We start from the raw sequence: 27,793 nt of genomic DNA, 5'->3' as shown, positions 1-27,793 counted from the left end.
CTAGCATATATTAGATGCTCAATAAATATTTTCTGAACAAATGATTTTTTTTAAACATGACCTGCACTCCCTTCCAAATCACTGGCAGGCCATACGCCTCCTGTATAGAAATTCTGAGCAGGTGGCATTTGAACTGGGCCTTACAAGCCACTCTTCACCCCAAACAGGGAACATGGTAGCTGGATTATGTTCTGTTGGGCCACATCTGCATCCCAGGATTCTGCTGCAGCTCATTGGCTGGGCAGCCTCCATTGTGAGGTAGCTCTGGTTTTTTCCTTGCCAAAGACAGACAAGCACTGAGCCTGGCCCCACGTCCAGGCACCAGGACCTCCAATCCAATGGTGTCTTCTTCCTCCCAGTCACACTGTTCACTTTGCCCTACAGCAGCAAGGGCTAAACTAGGAGAGGCCAAAAGCCCAGGCAAGTCCTGGTTGGGCAAGCAATTGCGAGTGAAACTGAGGACCATCCTGACTGAGATGGGTCTTTCATAAGTCCCCCAAGAGCCAGGTGAGGCATCATCAACATCAGCCTCTCCTGCCACCACCGCTTCCCTGATTCATGCACTTCAGGCTTCAGCCAGCAGCACGCATCCTTGGGGTTAGGAGCCAGCATCTCAGGTCAGCAGCCATGGTTTCTCTGGAGAAAGACCCATCAGAGGCTCATTCAGAGCCTTAACCCTGAGCCTCTGCCACCTACCCACCGTGTTGAAGATGTCATTGCTTGGAAGGGACTACAACAGTGAGCTGAACTCCTTGGACAACGGACCTCAGTCACCCTCAGAGAGCAGCAGTAGCATTACTTCAGAGAATGTCCATCCTGCTGGAGAAGCTGGACTATCGTAAGTGGCCGCACCGCCCTTCCAGGCCTGAGGTCAAGCACTGCTGTTTTTGCAACTCTGGACTATGTCTTCCTTCATCTATCTCCTTAACACGCTTATTCCATTAACACGATATGCGTGGATAAAAGATGAAACCTTCAGAATCTAAGGAGGTCAATCCCTGTGGCTCTGGCTACTAGCCCTGTTTCCCAGTTTTTACGAAGAACCCAGCTAGAGCAGCCACCCTCAACATGAGCAGCTTGTCTCCAGGAACAGTTTCCTATCTCAGGCTGTCTGCCCTTTCCTTCCTCCCTTTCTTTCTTCCACAGTCTCTGGCTGCCTTCTTCTCCTCACACATCTGCCATTATTCTCTCTGCCTCTTCTCCCCAACCCCCCATGCCATCCATCCAGAAAACAAAAGGTGCTAACCCCATGTCTCCACCTTTACTGCCCCAAACTCAGACACATGGAACTCTTCTCTCTTTTTTTTTAATTAAATTAAATTTAATTTAATTTTAAGTTCCAGGATACATGTACAGGACATGCGGGTTTGTTACATAGGTAAACGTGTGTCATAGTGGTTTTGCTGTACCTATCAACCCATCACCTAGGTATTAAGCCCCATATACCTTAGCTATTTATCCTGATGCTCTCCCATCCCCTGCCCCCCACCCCCAACCAGCCCCAGTGTTTGTCTTGTTCTCCTCCCTGTGTCCATGTGTTCTCATTGTTCAGCTCCCACTTACAAGTGAGAACATGCAGTGTTTGGTTTTCTGTTCCTTTGTTAGTTTGCGGAGTATACTGGCTTCCGGCTCCATCCATGTCCCTGCAAAGGACATGATTTCAACAGAACTCTTCTTCTAGGACTTACTGTCAATCACACTGCTATCTGGTAATCATCAGATCGGTAACAACTGTGGGCACAAAGAGATTATCGATGACAATCCCCAGTGTTGATAAGGATATCAGGAAATGCCCTCTCTCATCTTTTGGGAAGAATTAAATTGGTATCTTTCTAGATGGCAATGTTACAGGTCAAATCGTAAAATGTCATTTGTATAAAACATACAAATATTTATTTGGCAAATGCTGTCTGAAAGTATACAACTCGTGCACACACACAAAACTGACAGCAGTGGTTGCCTCTGGGGAAGAGAATTTGGAGGCTGAGAGAAAAGAGATTTATATTTGTTTCATAAGGATTTGGATTATTGCGTTTTATCTTTTGAATTTTGTACTGTAAGTATTACAATCTAGTTCTTTAAAGTATAATGAAATATAAATAAATATACCCTTTGATTAATAATACCCCTCTAGGAATTTTTTCTGATGAAATAATAGCACAAGAGTGCATAATTTTTATCAAAGCACTTGTTATAATGTAACCACTCAATGGGTTCACCTTGCCCACTGCCTAGACAGAGACGATTTATCAAGACAGGGGAATTGCAATGGAGAAAGAGTAATTCATGCAGAATCTGCTGTGCAAGAGACTGGAGGTTTTTTTTTTTTTTTTTTAGACGGAGTCTTGCTCTATCGCCCAGGCTGGAGTGCAGTGGCGCGATCTCAGCTCACTGCAAGCTCGAGACCGGAGTTTTATTATCACTCAAATCGGTCTCCCTGAGCATTCGGGAATTAGAGTTTTTAAAGATAATTTGGTGGGTAGGAGCTTGGGAAGTGGGGAGTGCTGATTGATCAGGTTGGAGATGGAATCACAGGGGCTCGAAGTGAGTTTTTCTTGCTGTTTTCTGTTCTTGGGAGGGATGGCAGAACTGGTTGAGCCAGATGACCGGTCTGGGTGGTTTCAGATGGTCCATCAGAGTGCAGGGTCTGCAAAATAACTCAAGCACTGATCTTAGGTTTTACAATGTGATGTTATCCCCAGGAACAATGTGGGGAGGTTTAGACTCCTGGAGCCAGAGGCTGCATGACCCCTAAACTGTAATTTCCAATCTTATAGCTAATTTGTTAGTCCTGCAAAGGCAGAATGGTCCCCAGGCAAAAAGGGGGTCTTTTTGGGAAAGGGGTGATACCAATAGTCAAACCATGAAATGAATTCCTTCCCAAAGTTAGCTCAGCCTATGTCCAGGAATAAACAAGGACATCTTAAAGGTTAGAAGCAAGATGGAGTTGGTTAGGTCTGATTTCTTTCGCTGTCTTAATTTCCTCAGTTATAATTTTGCAAAGGCAGTTTCAATAATATTGAAAACTTGGAAACATTAAGAGAAAGGTTAACACATGAAACAAACATACAGTAGAATATGATACAGTCATTACAAGTGATGGAGGAAATGTATGGACATGGAAAGTGTGTAGCACATTTATTCATACAGAAAATTAGTTGAGGATCCAGCATGCATAGCGGTTCTCTTTATGTAAAATTCGGTGCATTTAGAGCAAATAAAGATGCCCAGAGGAGGGCTAATTATAATGTGTGGTTATTTTCCATTGGTGGGATTTTGGAATTTCCTTTTATAATAGCAATTGTATAGTTTTCGAGAAAAAATATAAACCCAATTTTTTAAATCTCAGGGGAGCTTGCAACATCTATTTATGCTTCAAGGTCCAGATGGGTAAATGCTGTCAGCTAAGGCACAGTGGTTCCTCCGAAAACTTGTCTCACCTTTCCCACAATATCTGATTCAAATAGGGGCAAGACATCGATGCTGTCATGGGAAAGAAGTGAGAGACAAAGGAAAAAAGAGCAGAGGGTGGGAAATGGGACCACATCTTTTGGAGAAATTACTACTTAAGAATTGACAAATTACAGTTATCAAGAAATAAAGGTTATCTCTTGGAAGTAAAGGGACAATGGGTGCCCACCCCCCCATCCTTAGGTGAATAGACTGCCCTAACAGAAGTTAGGTCAATAGACTTCACTCAATAGACTGAAGTCACAGAAGTCCCCAACAGTTCATCTGTTCTCTCAACCCAACCCTCTCTCAGGTCAGCATTGAAATGCAAAGACCTGGTTGGTTACAGCTTCTTCCTAGCCCCTTGCCATGACTCTCTAATGGATAAGACAAAGAGATGTGAGCACTGTCTCTGCTGGACTCACTTGGGCAGTTGGTTTTGGCTCTCCTGGCCACCTGCAGACAATTTAAGTGTGGCAAGAGGGCATTCTCTGTCTTAGCCTGAGACTTCGTCTGTATCTCCCAATGGCATCTTCAAGGTACCCTTTTGTTCTTGGGTGGAGGGGGCACTTCTACTTGCTTAAACCAGCCCATGCTTGCCTTTTTCCTATCATCCCAATTCTTCTTCCTCTTGAAGGATGCGCTTTCTAACAAATGAGCACCATGAAGGCCAAACCAAAGGTGGCAGTGAGGATGATGATGATGATGAGACAATGATATGACGATGATGATGCTCACATCTGTGAAGCACTTCATGATTCCATGATTCATCATGTTGTTACCTCTTTTGAGTCTTACAGCTTCCCTGGGACATAGGCAAAACTAGAATTTTCTCCCTTTTTTGGCAGTGAAACAGGATCAAAGCAGCTAATGGCTTCCCAAAGTAGTAACCAAACACAGTAGGTTAGCGGCAGAGCTGGAACTCAGAATTAAGTGCTCCCATCTCTGGGTTCAATGCTTACGCATGTACTTTTTATTTAAGTTCCTTTTTGATTCTGTTCTCATGATCCTGTTCCCACCTTTCCCACCCAATCCACATCAGGATTGGAGCTGCCTGGGCAGGAGCTGCCAGCACAGGTGTGAAGAATATTTAGAACCCTAGGCCCTAGCACCCTGCTGGGACCATCATAAGTACTCTATATGCACAGTAACAATTGCTATTAAATTATTAAATTTTACCCAGTGCATAATGTCGATATATAGCAATTCATATATATATAATATATATATATATATATATATCACCATGCTCATCTGACTCTACTTTGCCACAATTCTCCCCACAGTCCTCCCCACTCCCTAGCATCACATGCAGCTCATTTCATATATATATATATATATATATATATAGAGAGAGAGAGAGAGAGAGAGAGAGAGAGAGAGAGAGAGCGCACAAGCAATTCATATTCACAATGAATATTGGTTGAACAAATGGATGAAGGAGTAAACTAAAACCAGTAAATATCCCATATATGGTAGATTTTTGTTTCTAGTGAGTGAGTTAATAAATAACCTGATGTCTCACTGTAGACTGAGGCAACTATTACTAATTTTTCCATTGTCTATCTAACTGATAGACATGTATTAGGTCACAATAAATGTTATTTGAGAGAATAACTCATGAAAGAAATCACTGGATGAATTAATGAACCAACCAGTACTAGAGTGTTATCCAGAATGGTAGCAATTTTTATTTCCTTTAGAGCCTAGTGTGTATTAAAGATTTGTTGAGTCACTTGAACTAGCACCATCCCCAGATCAGATGTTCCAGGACAGACCCCTAGAACTGAGAGTTGTCTCCAAGTCCACCTCATCAGGTTTTGCCCCTCTTCCTATCAGGCGCTCTGGAGATGCCAGAAGGAGGCTGAGTTTCTGGCCATGCTTCCCTTCCACTAACAGTACCCTCTGTCTCCCTACTCTCCCCACCACAGGATGATGCAAACTTTGATCCACTTGTTGAAATGCAACATTGGCACAGGGCTCCTGGGGCTTCCCCTGGCCATAAAGAATGCCGGCTTGTTGGTAAGAGGCATCTGTGGGATGGGAACTAGGTTTGCTCATTTGCAGAAGGGGGTGATAGGTCCTGAAGGCCTTCACACTGTTATCAATGGGCAATTTGGGGGTACCCTCTGCAATTGAAAATGTGCCTGTTGGCATCAATCCCCTGGAGTCAACCTGGGTCCAACCTGAGCATCCCTGAAGGGGGCACACCATTACTCTTAAAGACTCACCATGCTCATCTGACTCTACTTTGCCACAATTCTCCCCGCAGTCCTCCCCACTCCTAGGATCACATGCAGCTCATTTCGTCATTTGCATTAACAGCCCAATCCCTGCAGGCATTTGAGTGTGTGACTCCTGTTCCAAACCACTTGAGGGCGCATGAGAAAGTGTCTTGGACATGAAGATAGACGCCTCCATCAATCCCACCAATCCACTCTCCCCACACCAGCCTACCTCTTTCTCTTTTCCTGTGCTGTTCCTGCCCCCTCATTTCTGTCTTTTTAAAGTGCCTCCTCTCTAAAACTTTACACTTTCTTATGATCACTAATGCCATCCTCACTTTGTATTTTTCTACCATTTATATCTACCTTACCTGGGATTCTTAAAGCACTTACGAAGATAAGATATTTATTTATTTATTATTATTTATTGAGACAGAGTCTCGCTCTGTCGCCCAGGCTGGAGTGCAGTGGCACAATCTTGGCTCACTGCAACCTCCGCCTCCCGGGTTCAAGCGATTCTCCTGCCTCAGCCTCCCGAGTTGCTGGGATTACAGGTGTGAGCCACCACGCCCAGCTAATTTTTGTATTCTTTGTAGAGAGGTTTTCATCATGTTGGCCAGGCAGGTCTCAAACTCCTGACCTCAGGTGACTGGCCCATCTCGGCCTCGCAAGGTGCTGGGATGACAGGTGTGAGCCACCTCGTCCGGTCGACATATTTATTTTCTAACAGACCCACCTTCCTCATTTAATTGAAAGCTCTGTGGGCAAGAACTGTCTGATTTCCCTTTGCACGTCCCCACGGTAGCCTCTGTAGGGACTGGCACACAGCAAGTTTCCATTAACATCTACTGAATGGAATAGATACCAAATATATAATTCCATTTCCTTGGAGTGAATCTTTTCTTATCTCCAGGCCTGGTAAGTGGCTTCTATGTCTAAAGAAGGCGAGACCCTTGCTGCCTCTGTCATGACTTCTGATCTTCAGTGGTTCCAACCCAGAGACTGGACTCTCCCCTTTGGAATCCTCTGGGTTCTAGAGCTTCTACAAAAAAACATGGTCTTCAGCCAAACTATCTTTGCCAGGGTGGTATTTGTTTTTAAGACAATGCTTTTATTCTTTGATATTTGCTTCCTCAGAGTCATTAGATGATTTCTTTACCTTTCATCTCCCACCAGAACCTCTGGCCATGATTCATTTGAGAAATATTTATTGAGCACCTATCTACCCTGTGCATTTGTAGCCCCTGGGAATATAGAAGCAAACAAGACACGAGAGTCTCTGCTGCATGAAGCCTGCATTCCAGTGGAGTCTAGTGGTGCTCTTGATCCCTCATTTATGTCTTTGTGATAGGTCACATCTATAAAGACACAAGTGTTCAGAACAAAGGATGTGAGAGGGTCCCCGTTTATACCCTTCTGATCACCTCTGGAAGATATAATTAGTAATCAGCCCCACTTTTTAAAAGGAATTTGACAAATTAGACACACTACAGTAGTGATCCCCAACTTGGGATCATTTTGCACCAGCTCCTGCTACCCTAGCCAAAGACCTTTACAATCTCTACAGACATTTTTGGTTGCCACAATCTGGGGGAAGAGTCTCTGACACCTAGTGGGTAGAGGCTCGGGAAAGCTGCTAAACATCCTATAATGCAAAAGACAGCTCCTGATAACAAATAATTATCTGCCCCAAAATGTCAATAGGGCACCTGTTGATAAACTCTGTACTAGAGGAAGAGAACTGAGTCATAAGAACACCTTGGCCCTCAATCATCTTGGAGGAAGTGAGGGCCAGGGTGTGTCAGACAAAATAAATTTACCACAAGGGACTCTAAACTGGTAGAACTCAAGGAAAATGAGAAAATGCATGGGCTATGTGGGAAGGTAATGAGCTCTCTGTCACTGGAAGTATCCTAGCAGAAGTTGGGCAGCCACTCTACAGGGATGCTAAGAAGAGCATTCAAATTCTAGCATCTGGGAGCATGAGGACATTCAGGCTGGGTCTGTCACCCCAAAGACAGTTTTATTATGCAACAGGCCCCAGCACGCAGACTGTGAGAGGGCCAGGGAATGGGAGTGATCATTTCTGGCTCACTTCCCCCTTTCTCCTCTCCCCTCCAGGTCGGTCCTGTCAGCCTTCTGGCCATCGGGGTCCTCACCGTGCACTGCATGGTCATCCTGTTGAACTGTGCTCAACACCTCAGCCAGAGGTCAGAGGCCTGCTTCTCTCTCATTCCAGCACTGGGGCCCCTCTGAGGGTGTGTTGCTCTTCTTTTGACCACTGACCCAATTAATTCGGCCACTGCTCCAGGCCACCTTCCTACCAATCTGGATTCTATGAAGGCAAGGAGAGCATGACAGAGAGTCCCAGTTAGAGACTCTAGGCACAGATCCAACGCTGCTGCTAACAAGCTGGATGACTGTCAAATTCCTGCATCCCCCTGAGCCCAGATCTCCTTAACTGAAAGCATCGAAAGTGATAAAAGATGCAAAAGCACTATATAAATTACTCTATTTATTTGAGACAGAGACTTTCTTCTCTTCCTTTTAGCCTCTCCATCCCCAACCTTCTCCCACTCCAATACCCACACCTTGTCAGGGTAATTTGGTCCATGCAATGTTAGTAAAAGTAAAAAGCATACTTACTGAAAAGAAGTCTTCACAATGATTTCAGTCATTATCAAAGCATACTTATAATAATCAATGTTTATGTATTTGAAACTTTAATGCAAAAACAATTTCAGAAAGAAAAGACAAATGCAGTAAAAACAAAGAATGCAGAGATCCACAGCGCTCAGCTACTCCCAAGGCATGCAAAACCAAATAGGTCCTCGTAAATGTGAAGAAAGGTCTCAAAAGTCAAAGTAGGGACGGTAAACAAAACTCTCCATAAAGCCTAATTATCATAACCCAAATAGGTGTACCTGGAGTACATATCAGTCACACCTAACTCTCAGAGCACTTTCCTGCTCACAAAACGCTTTTAAGAGCATTTACTCATTCCGTAGTTAAATGTATTGTGCAATTACACTGCGGTTATCGTGCCAAGAGCCTTGCAAGCCTTGTTTACTCCTCACAGTAAGTCTATGATAGGCACTATTTTTATTCCCATTTTACAGATGAGTAAACTGAGGTTTAAATGCCTTGCCCAGGGTCATATAGCTGGGAAGTGGCAGAGCCAGTATTCAAAGACCTACTGTGACTCCACTGTTAACCATTTTGCAAATCTTCTCTTCCCTCAAGCCTTCTGGGATCATTATATCACCAGATAAGCTTCTGACATCAGGCCATTTCTGAAAGCCTTTCTCTGATTTTTTTTTTTTCTCTGATGACTTGTCTTTTATTTTTTCTAATATAGAGGTTGCAGAGTGATGGCCTGAGAGTTGGCTATGGCCTTCAGTTATGTTTTGGGGGACTTCACAGTTTTATTTTTTAGTCAATGTTTAAACCCTGGAGATTTCGGCCGGGTGCAGTGGCTCACACCTATAATCCCAGCAATTCAGGAGGCCGAGGCAGGCAGACCACCTGAGGTCAGGAGTTCGAGACCAGCCTGACCAACATACAGAAACCCCATCTCTACTAAAAATACAAAATTAGCCAGGCGTGGTGGTGCATGCCTGTAATCCCAGCTACTCGGGAGGCTGAGGCAGGAGAATCGCTTGAACCCGGGAGGCGGAGGTTTTGGTGAGCCGAGATCGCACCCTTGCACTCCAGCCTGGGCAACTAGAGTGAAAACTCTGTCTCAAAAAAAAAAAAAATTCACATTCACAAAATGTGAATTGGAGATTTCACATTCACATTCACAAAACAAAAAAATCTCTGCCTTCTTAATCAGTTAGACAACCGACTGCTTCTGAGCCTTCATTTTTTAGATGTGCTTCTAGAGGCAACTCCTGAGCAATCCCTTTTACAATGGGATGTGTTATTCTGGTTTGCCACAGTCTCCAATGTTCCCTACTGTCTCTTATACTCAGCCCCTGTCACCCACCAGATCACCAGTACCTGTCTGATCCCATAGCTTCTGAATTTGCAACCCTCAGATTCATATCCTTGCCAGTTCTATGCAAGGTGACTTCATTTGTATTGAAAATGCCTATCACGGTGAGCAGTAACAAAAATGTCATGTTCCAGCACATCTCTATATCCGTCTCTCACTGTCTCTTCCCCCAAAATCCAGACTGCATGTGAAGAAAACTGGGGCCCAGAGATCTCAAGAGACTGGCTCTACATGTCTGGCTACCTGAGGGTCATGTTGGGATTTAAACTCTGGTATCTGAAGAAGGCTGGAGCCCTTCCTCTCTCCCACCTGTTCCCCTCAGTCCTGCAATTTATGCCGTGCTTCCAGGATCTGGGCAACCTGCTGCTGTTTCCACTTGCTCCAGCCAAAGGTGTTTCTGCAGCAGGGCCTGCTCCACCCTTAAAAGGGTTGAGAAAGAGGGACATGGCAAGAGGAATAGGCTGGAACTTGGGCATCACATCCTACAGGGGGCTGGGCAGGATCCCGAGTATCACCTTTGTGAGGGGTCTGGCCCAGGCCAGGATCTCGAGTGTTCTGACACCATCAGCAATGGGAAGGAGGGAATCACTGGCCTGGCCACACCCACACCACCTCTTCCCCTCCCTCCTCCTCTCCCCCTCCATATCCCCTTTCCTGCTTTGCAGATCTACGTCAATGCACAGCTACCGCTTACTCAAGAAGAATAAATCCAATGATAGTCAGTTAAATATTTGTGCTTAAAGGGATAATTGCAAAAAAAGAAAAAAAGGCAAACTCCTGAAAGTTGTTAAAGTATAAAGTAGATCACTGGGAGAAAATTGACAGAAGGCTTCATGCTCACACACAAATACATAAAAATCACTCACTTTGGGAGAAAACTGTACCTTTAACAAAAATGTTTTAAATTATGCATTGTTTGTTCTTTCCCCCTAGACTGCAGAAGACTTTTGTGAACTATGGAGAGGCCACGATGTACGGCCTTGAAACCTGCCCGAACACCTGGCTGAGGGCCCATGCAGTGTGGGGAAGGTAGTAGTCACAGATGTTGTAGTAGTAACAACAAAAATCATCATATCACTTTTCTTTATTTCTACTTACACAGGTTTTAAATGAATATGCTCTTATTGTAAACTATCAAACAATAGAGAGAATCACCTCGATAACCCCATCCCCCATCTCACTCTGTACCCATAAGGTAATCATTGAAACCTAGTTAGTAAATATTCCTTTAGACTTTTTTTCTCTACATGTACATCAATATATGTGTGTGAATGGAAGTACATAATTTGCTTTCTATTTTCTTATACATTACTTAGGATAATTTCTGAAAATTTGATTTTTCATCTAACAATATATCCCTATTTTTTCATGTTGGAACATATAAATGAACCTCATTTTTGGGGGGGGAGGGACAGAGTTTCACTCTTGTTGCTCAGGCTGGAGTGCAATGGCGTGACCTCAGCTCACTGCAACCTCCGCCTCCTGGGTTCAAGCAGCTCTCCTTCCTCAGCCTCCTGAGTAGCTGGGATTACAGGCGCCCACCACCACGCCTGGTTAATTTTTGTGTTTTTAGTAGAGACAGGGTTTCACCATGTTGGCCAGGCTGGCCCTGAACTCCTGACCTCAGATGACCCGCCTGCCTCGGCCTCCCAAAGTGCTGGGATTATAGGTGTGAACCACCTCGCCCAGCCTACCTCATTATTTTTTAAGGCTCACAGTGTTCCCTAGTGTGGATGTATATCCGTTTCATTTGCTTATTCCCCTAAGGTGAACATTCAGGTTGTTCCCTGCCTTGATAAAAAGTTAACGGTGTACAAAATGGTTTTCTCTGTCTTAGTTCCTCTGTTCCTCTCAACAGCCTTGTGAGGTAGGCAGGGTGGGTTTTTATTGCCCTGGAAATATGAGGCTTATAAAGATAAAATAACATATCCAAAGGCATGGACATTGATATGGGTGGAGCAGAGATTTGACCAAGAACCTAACATTGGAGCCTTCCCCAGCAAAGTCCCTCAGGAGGTAGTGAGTCAAATTGTGGCTGCTAAGATTCCTTTGCAGCTCCTCTCTTGGGATTCTCAGTAGGTCATTGATCTCCTGATCAGGAGCCACTCTAATGATTAGATGAGGTCATGAGAAAGAGTTAGAAACATTTAAAAAATATTTAAAGTAATAATTTGTCATCTTTAATTTACTGAGAGATACCTGAGGAGCTTGATTAAAAACTGCCCATTCCTTGGCCATGTGTGGTGGCTCACGCCTGTAATCCCAGCACTTTGGGAGGCTGAGGTGGGTGGATCACCTGAGGTCAGGAGTTTGAGACCAGCCTGACCAACATGGCGTAACCCTGTCTCTACTAAAAATATGAAAATTAGCCAGGCTTGGTGGTGGGTGCCTGTAATCCCAGCTACTCAGGAGACTGAGGCAGGAGAATCGCTTGAACTCAGGAGGCAGAGGTTGCAGTGAGCCGAGATCGCACCATTGCACTCCAGCCTGGGTGACAGAGTGAGACTCCATCTCAAAACAAACAAACAAACAAACAAAAGCTGCCCATTCCATGGAGGCAATGGTCATTAATGGATGCTCAAGCTGTTAGAGGAATGGTCACTGGGAAGCTTTATAAAGGGAGAATGCACTGATGCTACCTGACCCCATGTACTCATCTTAGCATCTCATATTTATATACATGACAGCTAGCTATGTGTGTCTCATAATAGCCCACAGTAGGGAGTACAGAGTAGTACCACCTCTGATATTTCAAAAATAAATTTGAAACCTCCATTTATTCAAGCCACTAGATCTAATATCCATTTATAGGAAGCACGGGGGATAGAGGAACAAGATAAATAGCATCATGAGGAAGTCACCAACCAAATAGAAAAAATAGGATATACTACAGGACAAATGATCTGGTATCTTCAGCAGCAAACAAAAAATTAAAAGTTGCAAGGAAAAAATAAACAGGGCAAGGGGAATGTAGCAGTTTAAAAAACTTAAGAGACTTAACAAAATACAATGTGTAGACTTGTTTGGAAACCAACTGTAAGACAGATATTTTTGAGAGAATTGGAGAAATCTGAATATGGACTGAATATTAGATGGTATAAAGAAATTATTGGCCAAGCACAATGGCTCATGCCTGTAATCCCAACACCTTGAGAGGTCAAGGTGGGAGGATCTCTTGAGACCAGGTGTCAAGACAGCCTAGGCAAAATGGTGGGACCCCATCTCCACAAAAATTTTTTTTAAATAGCCAGGCCTGGTAGCACACACCTGTGGATCCAGCTACTCAGGAGGCTGAGGTGGGAGGATCACTTGAGCCCAGGAGGTTGAGGCTGCAGTGAGCCATGACTGCACCACTACACTCTAGCCTGGGAAACAGAGCGAGAATCTGTCTCAAAAAAAAAAAAAGAAATTATTGTTAATTTTGTAAGACATGATGATGGTATGATGATTATACTTTTTAAAGTTATTATCTATTACAGCTACATACTGAATTATTATTATTATTATTATTATTTTGAGACAGAGTCTGGAGTGCAGTGGCGCGATCTCGGCTCACTGCAAGCTCCACCTCCCGGGTTCATGCCATTCTCCTGCCTCAGCCTCCTGAGTAGCTGGGACTACAGGCGCCCGCCACCATGCCCGGCTAATTTTTTGTATTTTTAGTAGAGATGGGGTTTCACCGTGTTAGCCAGGATGGTCTCGATCTCCTGACCTCGTGATCCGCCCGCCTCGGCCTTGCAAAGTGGTGGGATTACAGGCGTGAGCCACTGCACCCGGCCCATACTGAATTATTTACAGGTGAAATAACTTGGGGTCTCTGGTTTGCTACAAATACACCGACAAATTCAGTATGTGTGTGATGGGGCTGAAGAGATAGAGAACAAGTGGCAAAAAGTTCATTGTTGAAGCTGGGATGAGCACATGTGAATTCATGAAATTATTCTCGTTAAATTCTCGTTATATTCATTAAATTATTCATTGCTTTTGTATATGTTTGAAAATCTTCCTAAGATAGACAGAAAAAGATATTATTCTGAAGTCACATGTGACACTGCCAAGATTCTGACTCAATAGGATGATATGAGAACCAGGAGCCTGTATTTTTAACATAGGCCTCAACCAACAAATTGGTTGATACTACAAGCCAATTTTGAAAAGCCCTTATCTAAACATTATAATCTAAGTAAAGGAACATATTTTTGTTCTTTTAGAAAAATGCATCTCCAAATTTGGAATAATTTAAGAACCCAAAAGAATAATGGCAATAACAGAGTATAAGATATTAAATTTAGAAATAATTAACATGTGTCTGTTGTGATGCCAAAAAAAAGAGGAGAAAACAATATATCTCTCTTAAAAACCAGCTAATAAATTTAGAAGAAATGATACATAGACTTAGAAAACCACCACCTTGCAACCACCAATGATTCAAGCAAGGAACATCAGTGAGTGGTAAAACCATTGGTTTGAGGAACAGGATAATCATGCCATCTCAAAGTTTTACCCCACAGATTACAAAGGGAAAATGTACATTTCCAATAGGAGATCTGGCAGTCACCAACAAAGCAAAACAACAGGATATCATGTGCCTCCCAATATGATGAAATAGAGGTACAAAACTATCACCTCTGTAGTATTCTTGCTAAAAGTGCTCCCCTGAATTTAATCACGAGGAAGCAATCATACAAGCCCGCAATGTGGGGCGTTCTATAAGACAATTGGCCTATACTCTTCAAACAAAGCCAGTGTGATGAAAACACACTGAGACTCTGTCTCAAAAAATAAAATAAAATAAAATAATTCAGTGTGTAGCTCTAACAGATAATAACTTTAAAAAGTATAATCATCATACCATCATCATCTCTTACAAAATTAATAATAATTTCTTTTTTTTTTTGAGGCAGATTCTCACTCTGTTTCTCAGGCTAGAGTGTAGTGGTGTGATCATGGCTCACTGCAGCCTCAACCTCCTGGGCTCAAGTGATCCTCCCACTTGGCTAGAGATGTAGCCAAATGCAATATACAAACCTTCATTAGATCCTGAATTAAAAAATAAAATAACTACAAAAGGTACTTTAGAGAGAATTGGGATAATACTAACTCATTTTTATGTAAGAGACTTGAGCATCTGCAGATTTTGAATTTGTAAGGGGTCTTGGATACCAATGAATGAGTGTATTTAAAATAGAAACTGTATATATGTATAAAATAGAAACTGTATATATGTATATATATGAAGATATTGAAGTTGATTTTCTGGCTATTGCAGTCTTAAGAATTTAGGGTTTAAGTATTAGGATACCTACAATTGACTTTTTCTTTTTTTTTTTTTTGAGATGGAATTTGGCTCTGTCACCCAGGCTGGAGTGCAGTGGCAAGATCTCAGCTCACTGCAACCCCCACCTTCAGGGTTCAAGCAATTCTCCTGCCCAAGCCTCCCGAGTAGCTGGGATTTACAGGTGCCTGCCACCACACCTGGCTAATTTTTGTATTTTTAGTAGAGACGGGGTTTCACCATGTTAGTCAGGTTGGTCTTGAACTCCTGACCTCAACGATCCACCTGCCTTGGCCTTCCAAAGTGACCTGCAATTGACTTTCAAATGATTCTGAAAAAAATTGCGTGTGTATGTGTGTGTGTGTATAGACGAATATTCATTCGTCTATATATACATATATATTATATATATATGTAATGCAATTTGGGGCCAAAAATTAACAACTGGTATATTTAGTTAAAGGGTACATGGATGTTAATTATACTATTCTTTCAACTTTTTGGCTTAAAAATTTTTCAAAATAAAAGAAAGTAGGGAAATTTTTAAAAATAATAACAAAAATAATTGTTTCAAATAGTAAACATTCTTAAGAAATAATTTTAGCTTTTGTTTCCTCCCTCTGTCTGCCTCTTCCTTTCCTTCCCAGGTACACTGTCAGCTTCTTATTAGTCATCACCCAGCTGGGCTTCTGCAGTGTTTATTTTATGTTTATGGCAGACAATTTACAACAGGTAAAGAGCCCTCTTCTGGGCAGAGTGGGGGAAAAGCAGACCTCCTGCTGCTGAGGCTACATTAGCAAAAGTATTGTGTTAGGCTCATGGGAGGAGAGAACTTCATTTCTACTCCTAGATCAGACCACGCTTGGGAGCTCTCTCAGTCCTGGGAATCACATTTTGAAAGGATAGACGAGCTAAAGTAACTTCTGAAGAGTTTAGCCAGGGTAGAAAGAGAGGCCTGCAATCATGTCCAGTCAGAAATCAATGATAATTGTTAGCCTGAAAAACACTGGTGACATTTACTTTGAGTATCTCAAGGTTGTCATGTAGAAGATGTCTAACTATACAAGGACAACAAGCTGCCACCTTCCCCTCATTGCATTCCTATCAGACATTACAAATCAACCACAGCCTTCTTTCTTGGCTTTGTGGATTAGAGGGAGCATCCTTGTTTTTGCGCACCCAAACAGCCAGAAAGAACTGTGACAAGTATTGTAGACGGAATATTCAAGCAGATGGATACTGACCAATATTTAGAGCTTCCCAGATTTTAGGGCTATCTAAATTTGAAGAGGATATTCTTGTGTGATGAATTCCCTTTCTCTGGATGTATGAAAGAAACTCATTTTGTGGAGAAGAAAAGGTTTGAGTAGATAACAACCTCAAAGCCTTGAGATTTTATGATTCTAAGGGTTTCTGGTTGTCACAATCATGGGCCCGACAGGGTTGCCCAATTTGGCAAATAATAATATATGATACCCAGTTATGATAGAATTTCAGATAAGTAGTGATTTTGTTTTACTATGAGCGTGTCTTATGCAATATTTGGGGCATATTTATACTAAAAAGTTACATTAATTACCTGAAATTCAAATGTAATTGGTGTCCTGTGTTTTACGTAGCAACCACACTGCCTGTCATTGTGCTTTATGTCAGATGGTGGAAAAAGCCCACGTGACCTCCAACATCTGCCAGCCCAGGGAGATTCTGACGCTGACCCCCATCCTGGACATTCGTTTCTACATGCTGATAATCCTGCCCTTCCTGATCCTGTTGGTGTTTATCCAGAACCTCAAGGTGCTGTCCGTCTTCTCGACATTGGCCAACATCACCACCCTTGGGAGCATGGCTCTGATCTTTGAGTATATCATGGAGGTCTGTGCCATAGGGAAGAAAGGATCAGGGTCCTGGGTCTCTGAAACACCTGGGGAGGAGGGTTTGTTATCATGATGGGCAGGTGAAGCTGAGGAAGGTGATCCTCTGCTCTGAGCAGCCCCTGCCAACATGACATCTAGGAACACTTCTGTCCCACAAGTTGTAAAAGCTAATTATTATCATCATCATTGTCATCAACATCCTCATCATCATCATCATCGTCACATTGGATAATAATGGGTCATTCAACAAATAATTACTGAATACCTTCTGCAATCCAGGCATTGTGCAAGGGGCCAGGGACTCAGTGGTCAGCAAAAATAAATAGGGTGCCTGCTCTCATGGAAGCTGCATTTACTTGGAGAGATAAACATCAATCAAATCACCAAAAAAATTGTAAAAGTGGTAGATGGACAAAAGAAATACAGATGATAAAGGAATTTTATTTACTTGGTGCCAAATTATTTACATACATTAACTTATTGAACCTTCGCAATACTATTTTGGAAGTAAAGCTGGCACTCTGTATCCATGATTTCCACATCCATGGATCTGAACAATCACAAATGGAAACTATTGGGAGAAAAAAACACTAAAAATATACAACAATAAAAAATCATACAAGTTAAGAAACAACTAGGTCTAACAACTATTGGCCAGGCACAGTGGCTCACACCTGTAATCCCAGCACTTGAGGAGGCTGAGGTGGGAGGGTTGCTTAAGCCCAGGAGTTCAAGACCAGCTGGACAACATAGCAAAATCCTGCCTCTACAAAAAATTTAAAAATTAGTGGGGCATGATGGCTTGCACCTGTAGTCCTAGCTACCTGGGAAGCTGAGGTGGATGGATCACCTGAGCCCATGAGGTCAAGGCTACAGTAAGCTATGATCACACCACTGCATTCCAGCCTGGGTGACAGAGCAAGACCGTCTCAAAAAAACATAAGCATGGGTTATATGCAAATACTATACCATTTTATATCAAGGACTTGAGCATTTGCAGATTTGGTATCCACGGGAGGTCCTGGAACATTAGTTCTCCCATGGAGACCAAGGAACAACTATAGTATCTTTATCTGCAATTTACAGACAAGGAAATTGATAAAGTAATTCTTTCATGAATTTCAGACTGCCTCCCATGTCCATGCTCCATTATCACAGACCACGAAATCCCACCATTATACTTTCATTTTCTTGAGTGAAAGTCTCTGGGGTTGTATTCATTTCATATTGCTGCTGTGATAAATTACCACAAATCTAGTGGCTTGAAAAAACACAAATTTATTTTCCAGTGCTTGAGTCTCGCTAGGTTGAACTTAATGTGCGGCAGAGCAGCATTCCTTTCTGGATTCCAGGGGAGAATCTGTTCTCTTGTCTTCTCCAGCTTTGTAGAGGCTGTCTGTGTGCCTTGGCTCAGGCCGCCTTCCATCTTCAAAGCTAGCAGCCTCAAGCCAAGTCTTTCTCATGTTGCCTTCCCTCTGATCTTCCCCTTCTGACTCCCTCTTCCACTTTTAAGGATGCTTGTCCCACCCGAATAATCCAGGATCATCTCCTTGTTTTAGGGTCAGCTGATTGGAAACCTTAATCCCATCTAAAAACTTAATTCTCCCTCGCCATGTAACATAACATACTCTCATCTTTTGGGGATTAGGATGTGAACATCTTTGGGGAACCATTATTCTACCCACCATAGAAATCTATTAACATAATCATTCCCCCTAGATTCATGAGAGCTGCTATACTAACTAGTGGACTGCACAGCCCTGAAAGAAGTGTGGGAGAGACATGTTAGAGGGCTGGGAAACAGGAGACCTGAATTCTTATCTGGGCTGTGCCACTAACTTGCATAGTGACCTTGGGCAATTCCCCTCTCCTCTGTGTTCCACTTTCTCCACATGTAGAGATGAGCGGGCTCCCAGTAGCCAAAGGGTGGGATAATCCAAGAGTCCAAGTAAGTGATGAAAGGATGAACACGATTTGGTGTCTATATATAGAGTGGAATATTATTCAGCCTTAAAAAGTGAGGAGACAGTGACACATACCACAATGTGGATGAAACTTGAGGACGCTAAAGCTAAATGAAATAAGCCAGGCACAGAAACAATACATATGATAGGATTCCACTTACATGAGGTACCTAGAATAGTCCAATTCATAGAGACAGATAGTAGAGCAGGGGGTGCCAGGAGGCTGGGTAGTGGGGCGTTATTATTTGATAGATAAAGAGTTTCCATTTGGGGTGATGAAAATGTTCTGGAGATGGATAGGGGTGATGGATACACAACAACGTGAATGTTCTTCATATTACTGAACTGTGCACTTAAAATAGTTAAAATGGTAAAATGTTATGTGTATTTTAGCACAATATAAATGAATAAATCATCATATTTAAAAGATTAGAAGGCTGACTGAGGTCTAGGTATCTTCTGATTTTCTCTGTTGAGATCAGGTGTGACCCAGCTTTCTACCAGGCAAAGATTTGGGATGACTTCGACACCATAACAACACCAATGTGCTTCTCCCACTTTCTTTTAGGGGATTCCATATCCCAGCAACCTACCCTTGATGGCAAACTGGAAGACCTTCTTGCTGTTCTTTGGTACAGCCATCTTCACATTTGAAGGCGTCGGTATGGTAAGATTGATGGGGTTCACGCGAATGGTCCCTAGCGCCCTCTACAGTGGCCAACTGTAGTTGCAGATGTCTGAATAAATAGTATTTATGAAAAGGTGCAGACTCTGATCTTCTCCTGGTGAAGGGAAAGTCTGTACCCACATACAGGGTCCCTACTGCTCTAATATACCACGCTAAGCATTGAAGACTGAGAATTTACTAATCAACCAAGACTAAGTAGGGCATTCCTGACAATAGAAAGCATGAGAGAAAATGAAAGGAGTGTGGCCATGTGGAGAGTCCCCTTTCTGATACTGGGCCCACCTGGGGAAGGACATTTGTGCTTGTACGGGAACCCTCTCCTTCACAATGGGCCACATCTCTTTCTACCTTTTCTTTCCCAACTTTTTTTTTTCCCTCCAGGTTCTGCCTCTCAAAAACCAGATGAAGCATCCACAGCAGTTTTCTTTTGTTCTGTACTTGGGGATGTCCATTGTCATCATCCTCTATATCTTACTGGGGACACTGGGCTACATGAAGTTTGGGTCAGACACCCAGGCCAGCATCACCCTCAACTTGCCCAATTGCTGGTATGTCCTGCCCACCTCAGGTGAGATAGGGAGAGACACTGGAACTGTTCTGGTTGTCATAGCAGAGAGCACAGCAAAGCTGAGCCATGAAGCTGGTAATCCATCACTGGAAGTGACATATGTCTCTCCTGCTCACACTGCATCAGTCAAAGCAAGCCACATGGCCGCACCTCACTCCAAGGGGGCAGGGAAGTGCAATTCTGCCATGTGCCTGGAAGTATTTGGTGAACAGCACAAATAACTGCTGTGCTACCTGATGCAGTGACCGTGGGGATTAATTGGATTAATACATAGATAATGCTTAGAAAAGTGCTTAGCACGTGGTAAGCATTCATGAGCGTTAGCTATTATCATTGTTATGCATCCCCACAGCCTTCATTTTTCCAAGGTGAGTAGGATGATGGTGCATTTATTTCCCACAAATCCAGAGCTGTAGAATGAGAAAAATGTAACCATCCCCACCCACCTTGCTGTGTTATGATAATGACTAGATGAGACAATAAATGTGGAGTTTCTTTGAAGTTGTGCCTTATTTTACTCAAGATATCATCCTAATATGCTGTTCTTGTTCTGGGCAATTTGGGCTGTCACTAGCTGCCTTGGACAGGGCACTTTCCTTCCTGGGACCTCAGCTAGAAAACATGGGTGTTGAGCTCCATCAGGACTTCACACCTGCTGGTGTGAACCTCACTAGTCATCAGGTTCTCCAGGAAAGCCTTAAACAAATATCCCTTCCCAATAAGAAAAAGACCAACCACCCAATGAGAAATGGGCAAAGGGCAGAACAGGTATTTCACAGGCAAATAAAAAAAAATGGCCAGATGGCCAGATAAAGAGATGCTCAGAAAGATAGTAGAAGGCCAGGGGCAGTGGCTCATGCCTGTAATCCCAGCTCTTTGGGAGGCTGAGGCGGGTGGATCACCTGAGGTCAGGAGTTCGAGACCAGCCTGGCCAACATGGCAAAACCCCATCTCTGCTAAAAAATATCAAAATTAGCTGGGCGTGGTGGTGTGAGCCTGTAATCCCAGCTACTCAGGAGGCTGAGGCAGAAGAATTGCTTGAGCCTGTGAGGCAGAGGTTGCAGTGAGCCGAGATCACGCCATTGCATTCCAGCCTAGGTGACAAAAGCGAGACTCAGTCTCAAAAAAAAAAAAAAAGAAAGAAAGAAAGAAAGATAATAGAAATGTGAGTTAAAAAATAAATACAAGGGCAAAGATGCATGCATCGACACACTGTTTAGGCAAGGACATGGGAAAGCAGGTCTTTTTATACACTAGGACAGCAAATGGGCAATATGTCAACAGCTATTAAAATTTTAAATCATGTAGACTTTTACCCAGCATTTTAACTTCTAAGTTTTTATATTATATGTGCATTAATATATGTACAAGGATAGTCTGTGCAGTATTGTTTACTTGGGAAAAGTCTAAGCCCAATCTAAATATTCATTAATTGGTGACTGATTTTTAAAATGATTGCATATCCATGCAATTGACATATCAACCAGCTATTAAATAGAAGAGCCAGATCTATGTGTACTGGCAGGGAACAATCTTTAAGACATACTGGGTGAGACAGCCAGGCGTGGTGGCTCATGCCTATAATCCCGGCACTTTGGGAGGCCGAGGAGGGCGTATCACCTGAGGTTGGGAGTTCGCGACCAGCCAGACCAACATAGAGAAACCCCGTCTCTACTAAAAATATAAAATTAGCTGGACATGGTGGTGCATGCCTGTAATCCCAGCTACTCGGGAGGCTGAGGCAAGAGAATTGCTTGAATCCAGGAGGCGGAAGTTGTGGTGAGCTGAGATCGTACCGTTGCATCGCTTCTCAGCCTTTTGGCTAAGATCAAGTGAGATCATACCATTGCACTCCAGCCTGGGCAATAAAAGCGAAACTCCGTCTCAAAAAAAAAAAAAAAAAAAAAAAAAACAAAGAAAAAGAAAAGAAATATTGGGTAAATAAAAGAGGAGTCTACATGTGTATGTGCATATGTGTATGCATGTGTGTGTGTGGATATGCATGTATGTTCCTACATTCTGTATGAGCATGTACAAACACCAATCATTTCTAGAAGGGCCACAAGAAAACTCTGAATGGTTGCCTATGGAAAGGGAAACTAGAAGCTAGGAATCAAGGGTGGGAAGAATGCTTTTCACTGTATGACTTTTGTACCATGAATTTTACTCTATGCATATATTGTCTTTTTTGTTTGTTTGTTTGAGATGGAGTCTCACTCTGTTGCCCAGGCTGGAGTGAGTGCAGTGGTGCAATTTCGGCTCACTGCAACCTCCACCTCCTGGGTTCAAGCAATTCTCCTGTCTCAGCCTCCCGAGTAGCTGGGACTACAGGTGCATGCCACCACGCCCAGCTAATTTTTGTATTTTTATTAGAGACGAGCTTTCACCATATTGGTCAGGCTGGTGTCGAACTCCTGACCTCAGGTGATCCACTCGCCTCGGCCTCTCAAACTGCTGCGATTACAAGCGTGAGCCACCACGCCCGGCTATTGTCTTTTAAAAAATTAAAAAAGAAGAGGCATACATTCCTGAGCTGCAGGCCTACTGACTCAGAATCTTCAGCAATAAGCACTTTTAATAAGCTTCCCGGATGGCCCTGATGTCCAATCTGGCCTGAATCATCTAACATTAGCCAGTTCTATAATTCAGTGAAAAGTACAGATTGAGTAACCCTTATCCAAAATGCTTGGGACCAGAAGTGTTTTGGATTTTGAAGCATTTCAGATTTTGTTTTGGATTAGGGATACTCAACCCATACCAGCTTCTGAGCAGTAAGTGAGTCCTCAATGGCCCTTCCGGGGAGCCACATCACCTTTCACATCCAATTCATGTGTCTGCAGGTTGTACCAGTCAGTCAAGCTGATGTACTCTATCGGCATCTTCTTCACCTATGCCCTCCAGTTCCACGTCCCAGCTGAGATCATCATCCCGTTTGCCATCTCCCAAGTGTCAGAGAGCTGGGCACTGTTTGTAGACCTGTCTGTCCGCTCAGCCTTGGTCTGTCTAACCTGTGAGTAGCATAAAAGGGCACTCTTTACCCAAAGCTATGACAGGGAGCCACGCTGGCGCCCACCCCACCATCATTGGATCTGCCACTTGCCTTCTTTGTGACCTAGGGTGGGATATTTCACCTCCCTGGACCTCAATTTTTCCACGTGAAAAAAAAGGGCTTAACAGAATTACCACACAGTAAATGTTATAGTCGTCTCTACTGCCTACACATAGAAAATAGATGCTGGCTGGTTTGTAGAAGAAGTATCATTCATTCAATCCTATATGTCAGGCACCGTACTGACATTATCCAATACTGATGATAGCCTAACAATGTATTACCATTAGAGGGAACTGTGGCCCAGATAAATTAAGTAACACACCTGAGTCATACACACTAAGTGACAAAGCTGGGATTTGAACACAGATTGTGTAACAACTGTTTTTCATGGTGCCATATTTCTTCTTATCATAAATTATGAACAAGTCCTGTATCATAAAGTGAGATTTAACTGTAGGGAAAAATCCCAGTGGGACTGATTTGTCAGTCTTGGAGATTATTTATTTATTTATTTATTTGAGACAGAGTCTCGCTCTGTTGCCCAGACTGGAGTGCAGTGGTGCTATCTCGGCTCACTGCAACCTCTGCCTCCCAGGTTCAAGAGATTCTCCTGCCTCAGCCTCCTGAGTAGCTGGGATTACAGGCACCTGCCACCATGCCCGGCTAATTTTTGTATTTTTAGTAGAGACGGGGTTTCATCACGTTTGCCAGCTGGTCTCAAAATCCTGATCTCAAGTGATCTGCCTGCCTCAGCCTCCCAAAGTGCTGGGATTACAGATGTGAACCATGCACCCAGCCAGAGATCATTTTTTGGCTGTACTCTTCTCTCTTCCCTCCCTTCCTTTCTTCCTGTTCCTTTCAATTCATTCATTCACTCACTCATGAGCACTGTTGTAGTGTTTGGGAAACCTCATGAACAGGGCTGGGGAATTCTTTCTTTGGAACATGTCTAGACGGAGGATCACAAACGATGACCCATGAGGAATGAGCAAAACAACAAGGGATGTTTTGCCTGGAGAAGCAAAGTCTCAGGAAATTTCCACATTTATCCTTAAACACCTGTGGGATTATTGTAAAAGTGAAGGGAGAAATTTAGTCTTCAAGGCTCCAGGAGTCAGAATTTAAAGTCATTGAAGGAATCAAGTTTCCGTACGGGGTCAGGAGAAACTATGCAATGCTTGGAGCTGTGCAGCAGAACATACTATCAGATAATAAGCTTTAAATGGCAGGCGTTCTATGAGCAGAAACAGCAAAATCCTACTTGGTTTGAGGTGTTAGAGTTCCCAGTCTGTGCTGAGACATCAGGAAGCTGTAAATAGTATTGTTTGTGATCATTCCTACTAGGAAGGGTGTAAGTTGACAAGAAAGACTGAGGAGCCTCTGAGTATCAGGGAATGCATGACTAGAGACAGTTGACCTTATAATGACATGTCCTGCTTTTGATATATGCTGAAAGTCCCATTCTTCATCCATTATTCATCCATCAATTCTATTACCCTTTACCCTTTATTCATTCAACAATCATTTGTTGAGCACCTACTACATACCTGGCATTGTGCTAGACACAAGGGATACAATGATGAATAATGAAGAAGATGTAGCTTCTGCCTTCACAGGACCTACAGTTGAGTGGCAAATATATGCAAGGAAATAATTACAGTGCATTGCAATGATTGTTAAGATGGGACATGATAATGCACCATATGATGGTTAAGATCGTAAGTAGAAGACACACTCTACACATAAGGGGGTCCTATAACTCAGCCTGGCCGAGCCAGGGAGTCCTCTCCAGTGGAGTGACACTTCAGTGAAGACCTAAATAAGTAGCAAATAGACGGAGGAGTGAAGAATGTACCACGGGAAGGGAACAGACTGTGCACAGACCTGAGGCAAGTATTGCCTATGGCCCCTTTGGAGAAGTGGAGAGTGCTGAGAGATGAGGTCAGAGCTTTGTCAGGGCCAAGTCCTAAGGGTCATTGTGCTGAGGAGTTTGGGCCATGCAGAGCCATGGAAAGGCACTGAGCAGAGGACTGGCATGACCAGAATGGAGCGTAAGGCCTTTCTCCATTCCACCTTGAATTATAGCTTTTCTTGCATGTATCTTCTCTGCCTCCTCGTTGTGAGCTTTCCTGGAAGACTGATGCTGAGTTTTCTCTATAAGCGGCTTATTAAACATTGGATGAAGGAAAGCTGTGGACAGGGACCTCCCATCGAAGGAGAATGCACTCCTAGCCATGAGAGTCTATGAGTCTCTCTTATGCTTGGACTGGATGTGTCAGAGCAATTTCAGAAAGAGGTGATTTTTTTAAAGATCCAGCAAGCTTGTATGGATGCTTTCCAGAACAGGCTTTCTCTATTTTGTTCATAGGAAAATCATATGATTGGAATATTTTAAGTAATGGATATCCCAAGTACACTGATTTGATCTTTACTAATTATATAAACATATTGAATTATCACATGTACCCCCAAACTACATACACATAGTATACATCAATGTAATAATTGTTTTAAAATAATAAATTTGCATAAAATTAAATCATATAAATTATATATTTACTCATTCAAACATTATTGAAATTGGACTCCCTTGGAAAATCTGTGATACTATATGCTCATCATGTGTATAAGAGATGGAATTTTAGGAGTGTGAAGAGAAGAGAAGGATGGGGGTTGGATAGCTTAATGCTGTCTTTGTGTTTTATGGCCTGCTTCATTACTAAGATCCTATTAAGAATAGAAAAATAAGTGGCTGATATTCGGACAGCAGCAGAAGCATCTCCCATTTTTTTATCCATCCTTGCTTCTAGACAAAGGCTATATTATATAGATACTACAAATGTTGGTTCTGAGCCTGGGCAAGAGTCAAGCACTTATTGAGCATCTACTGTGTATCAAGTTCTTTCTTACACATGAGAGGCAGCATAGTAGAGTGAAAAGGACCTTAGATGGGGCATCCCAGTGAATTCTCATCTCAGCTCTGTGTGACCTTGAACAAGTCCTGTTCCTTCTAGAGCTCTAGATTTCCCCATCTCTACAGTGGGGAGGTTATTAACAGGTAAGTGGTAGAAGAGCCCTTCCAATAAAGATTATATGTAAAAAAAAATCCAGTAGATAAAATATAAAAGGAGAGCATCTATATTACTAGTTAAGACAGGGGTGGGAGTTGCCTGACCTCCCCAAGCCTGCAGTAGGCTCCCTCCCACCTCTCCAAAGTGGTCTCTCAGGTGTCTGTGAAATTCTAGGGCTCCAAAGCAATGGCTTGTTTCTGAGCACATTCAGTGATTCTAAATATCTCCTTTCATTGCAGGTGTCTCAGCCATCCTCATCCCCCGCCTGGACTTGGTCATCTCCCTGGTAGGCTCCGTGAGCAGCAGCGCCCTGGCTCTCATCATCCCAGCCCTCCTGGAGATCGTCATCTTTTACTCTGAGGACATGAGCTGTGTCACCATTGCCAAGGACATCATGATTAGCATCGTGGGCCTTTTAGGGTGTATATTTGGGACATACCAAGCCCTCTATGAGTTGCCCCAACCCATCAGCCATTCCATGGCCAACTCCACAGGTGTCCATGCATAATTATCTGTTTTTATTCTAATAGCTCTCCCTTCCTCCCATCCCCAGTTTGACTTCCATGTGGATGTTATATACCTTCATCAAATCCCAACATCTCTATATTAATTAGTGGCGTCTTTATCTTTCCAAGAGAAATGCAGATGAGAAAAGTTAGCACTGATGTCTCTCAGGCTACACCTCTTTTGGTTTTATATTTTTTGGATGGCCTTTTGTACCTCTGAACCAAAATTAGATTCAACTATTCATATTATCAGCCTCATTTTATGGAAAAGGGATGCCACTTACCCCAATAGCCCTTGAAACAGAGACCAAGCATAAATACAAAAGTAACTGTTTTCTCTACACTGCAGTAGCTGCCCTTAAAGCATCAGATTTAGAAAAGTGTATGTTGGGCGAAGGGAGTTTTCTATTTAGATATTCTAAGTAGAAGAGTCATAGACAGAACAAAAACAGAACTCAGCAGTAATTTTGTCCAACCACTGGCTCCGCCACTGATTTCCTACTGGCCCTCAGGCAAGTTCCTCCCCATCTCTCAGTCTATGAAGTGAACAGTTGGACTAACTGATTATTAAGGACTCTGTCAACTCTGATATTCTGAAAGTGAATAAAAGAAATTAACTTATCCACCAACCACAAAAACTGGCCATGCTAGTGTTGGTGAGGAGGTGGAGTAACTGAAACTCCATACCCTGCTATGTGGATAGAAAGTAGTACAATCAGTTTGATAAACATCTTGTAGTTTCTTTAAAACTTAAACATATACCTACCATATGATCCAACTATTCCACTCCAGAAAAAAGAAATATATATCCATAAAAAGACTTGTACAAAAATATTCATGGTAACTTTACTTATAAAAGCAAAGAAGTTGGAAATACTCTAAATGTCTATAAACAAGAGAATGGATAAATAAATTGTGATGTAGCCATACAATGGAATATTCCTCAGCAAGGAACAGAAACAAACTGTTGAAATACACAATAAAATGTATGAATCTTAAAATAAATATGCTGAATGACAAAATCCAGACCAAAAAAAGAATACAAACTGGATGATTCTATTTATATAAAAGCCTGGAAAATGAAAACTAATCTGTAGTGACAGAGAACAGCTCAGTGGTTGGT

The 27,793-nt window shown here is 42.7% G+C and overlaps 1 protein-coding gene across 7 annotated transcripts, besides 1 other annotated feature; it reads left to right on the top strand.

Annotated features, from left to right (window-relative positions):
- Positions 1 to 298: 298 nt before the first annotated feature.
- Positions 299 to 27,707, top strand: SLC36A3 (solute carrier family 36 member 3). 7 transcript variants are annotated; one of them, NM_001145017.2, is made up of 11 exons: positions 299 to 838; positions 5,382 to 5,472; positions 7,797 to 7,885; positions 10,606 to 10,701; positions 15,009 to 15,131; positions 15,595 to 15,679; positions 16,601 to 16,819; positions 19,354 to 19,452; positions 19,855 to 20,021; positions 22,882 to 23,051; positions 26,404 to 27,707. In NM_001145017.2, exons 1-11 carry the CDS (start codon positions 711 to 713, stop codon positions 26,670 to 26,672), a joined length of 1,536 nt encoding a protein of 511 aa, NP_001138489.1. In that variant the 5' UTR covers positions 299 to 710; the 3' UTR covers positions 26,673 to 27,707. The 7 variants fall into 7 exon arrangements, with proteins under 7 accessions (NP_001138489.1, XP_011535929.1, NP_861439.3 ...); XM_011537627.4 differs by lacking the exon at positions 15,009 to 15,131 and having other exon boundaries at positions 16,601 to 16,741; NM_181774.4 differs by lacking the exon at positions 15,009 to 15,131.
- Positions 15,553 to 15,622: an enhancer, noted in NCBI's record as "active region_23456". NCBI's record gives its function as "activates an Ori minimal core promoter by ATAC-STARR-seq in GM12878 lymphoblastoid cells {active_cell/tissue: GM12878}" and the evidence as "EXISTENCE:reporter gene assay evidence [ECO:0000049][PMID:35858748]".
- Positions 27,708 to 27,793: the final 86 nt, after the last annotated feature.

This window comes from Homo sapiens, chromosome 5 (assembly GCF_000001405.40).
Source record: "Homo sapiens chromosome 5, GRCh38.p14 Primary Assembly".
Lineage (NCBI taxonomy): Eukaryota > Metazoa > Chordata > Mammalia > Primates > Hominidae > Homo > Homo sapiens.
This window is presented reverse-complemented; position numbering and strand designations above follow the sequence as displayed.

Bases quoted from the DNA above. Each gene is read 5' to 3' on its own strand.
- SLC36A3 (NM_001145017.2), top strand. From the start codon at position 711: ATGTCATTGCTTGGAAGGGACTACAACAGTGAGCTGAACTCCTTGGAC. The intron at 839-5,381 runs GTAAGTGGCCGC...TCCCCACCACAG, and splicing joins GCTGGAGAAGCTGGACTATC to GATGATGCAAACTTTGATCC. The intron at 15,680-16,600 runs GTAAAGAGCCCT...GCTTTATGTCAG, and splicing joins TGGCAGACAATTTACAACAG to ATGGTGGAAAAAGCCCACGT.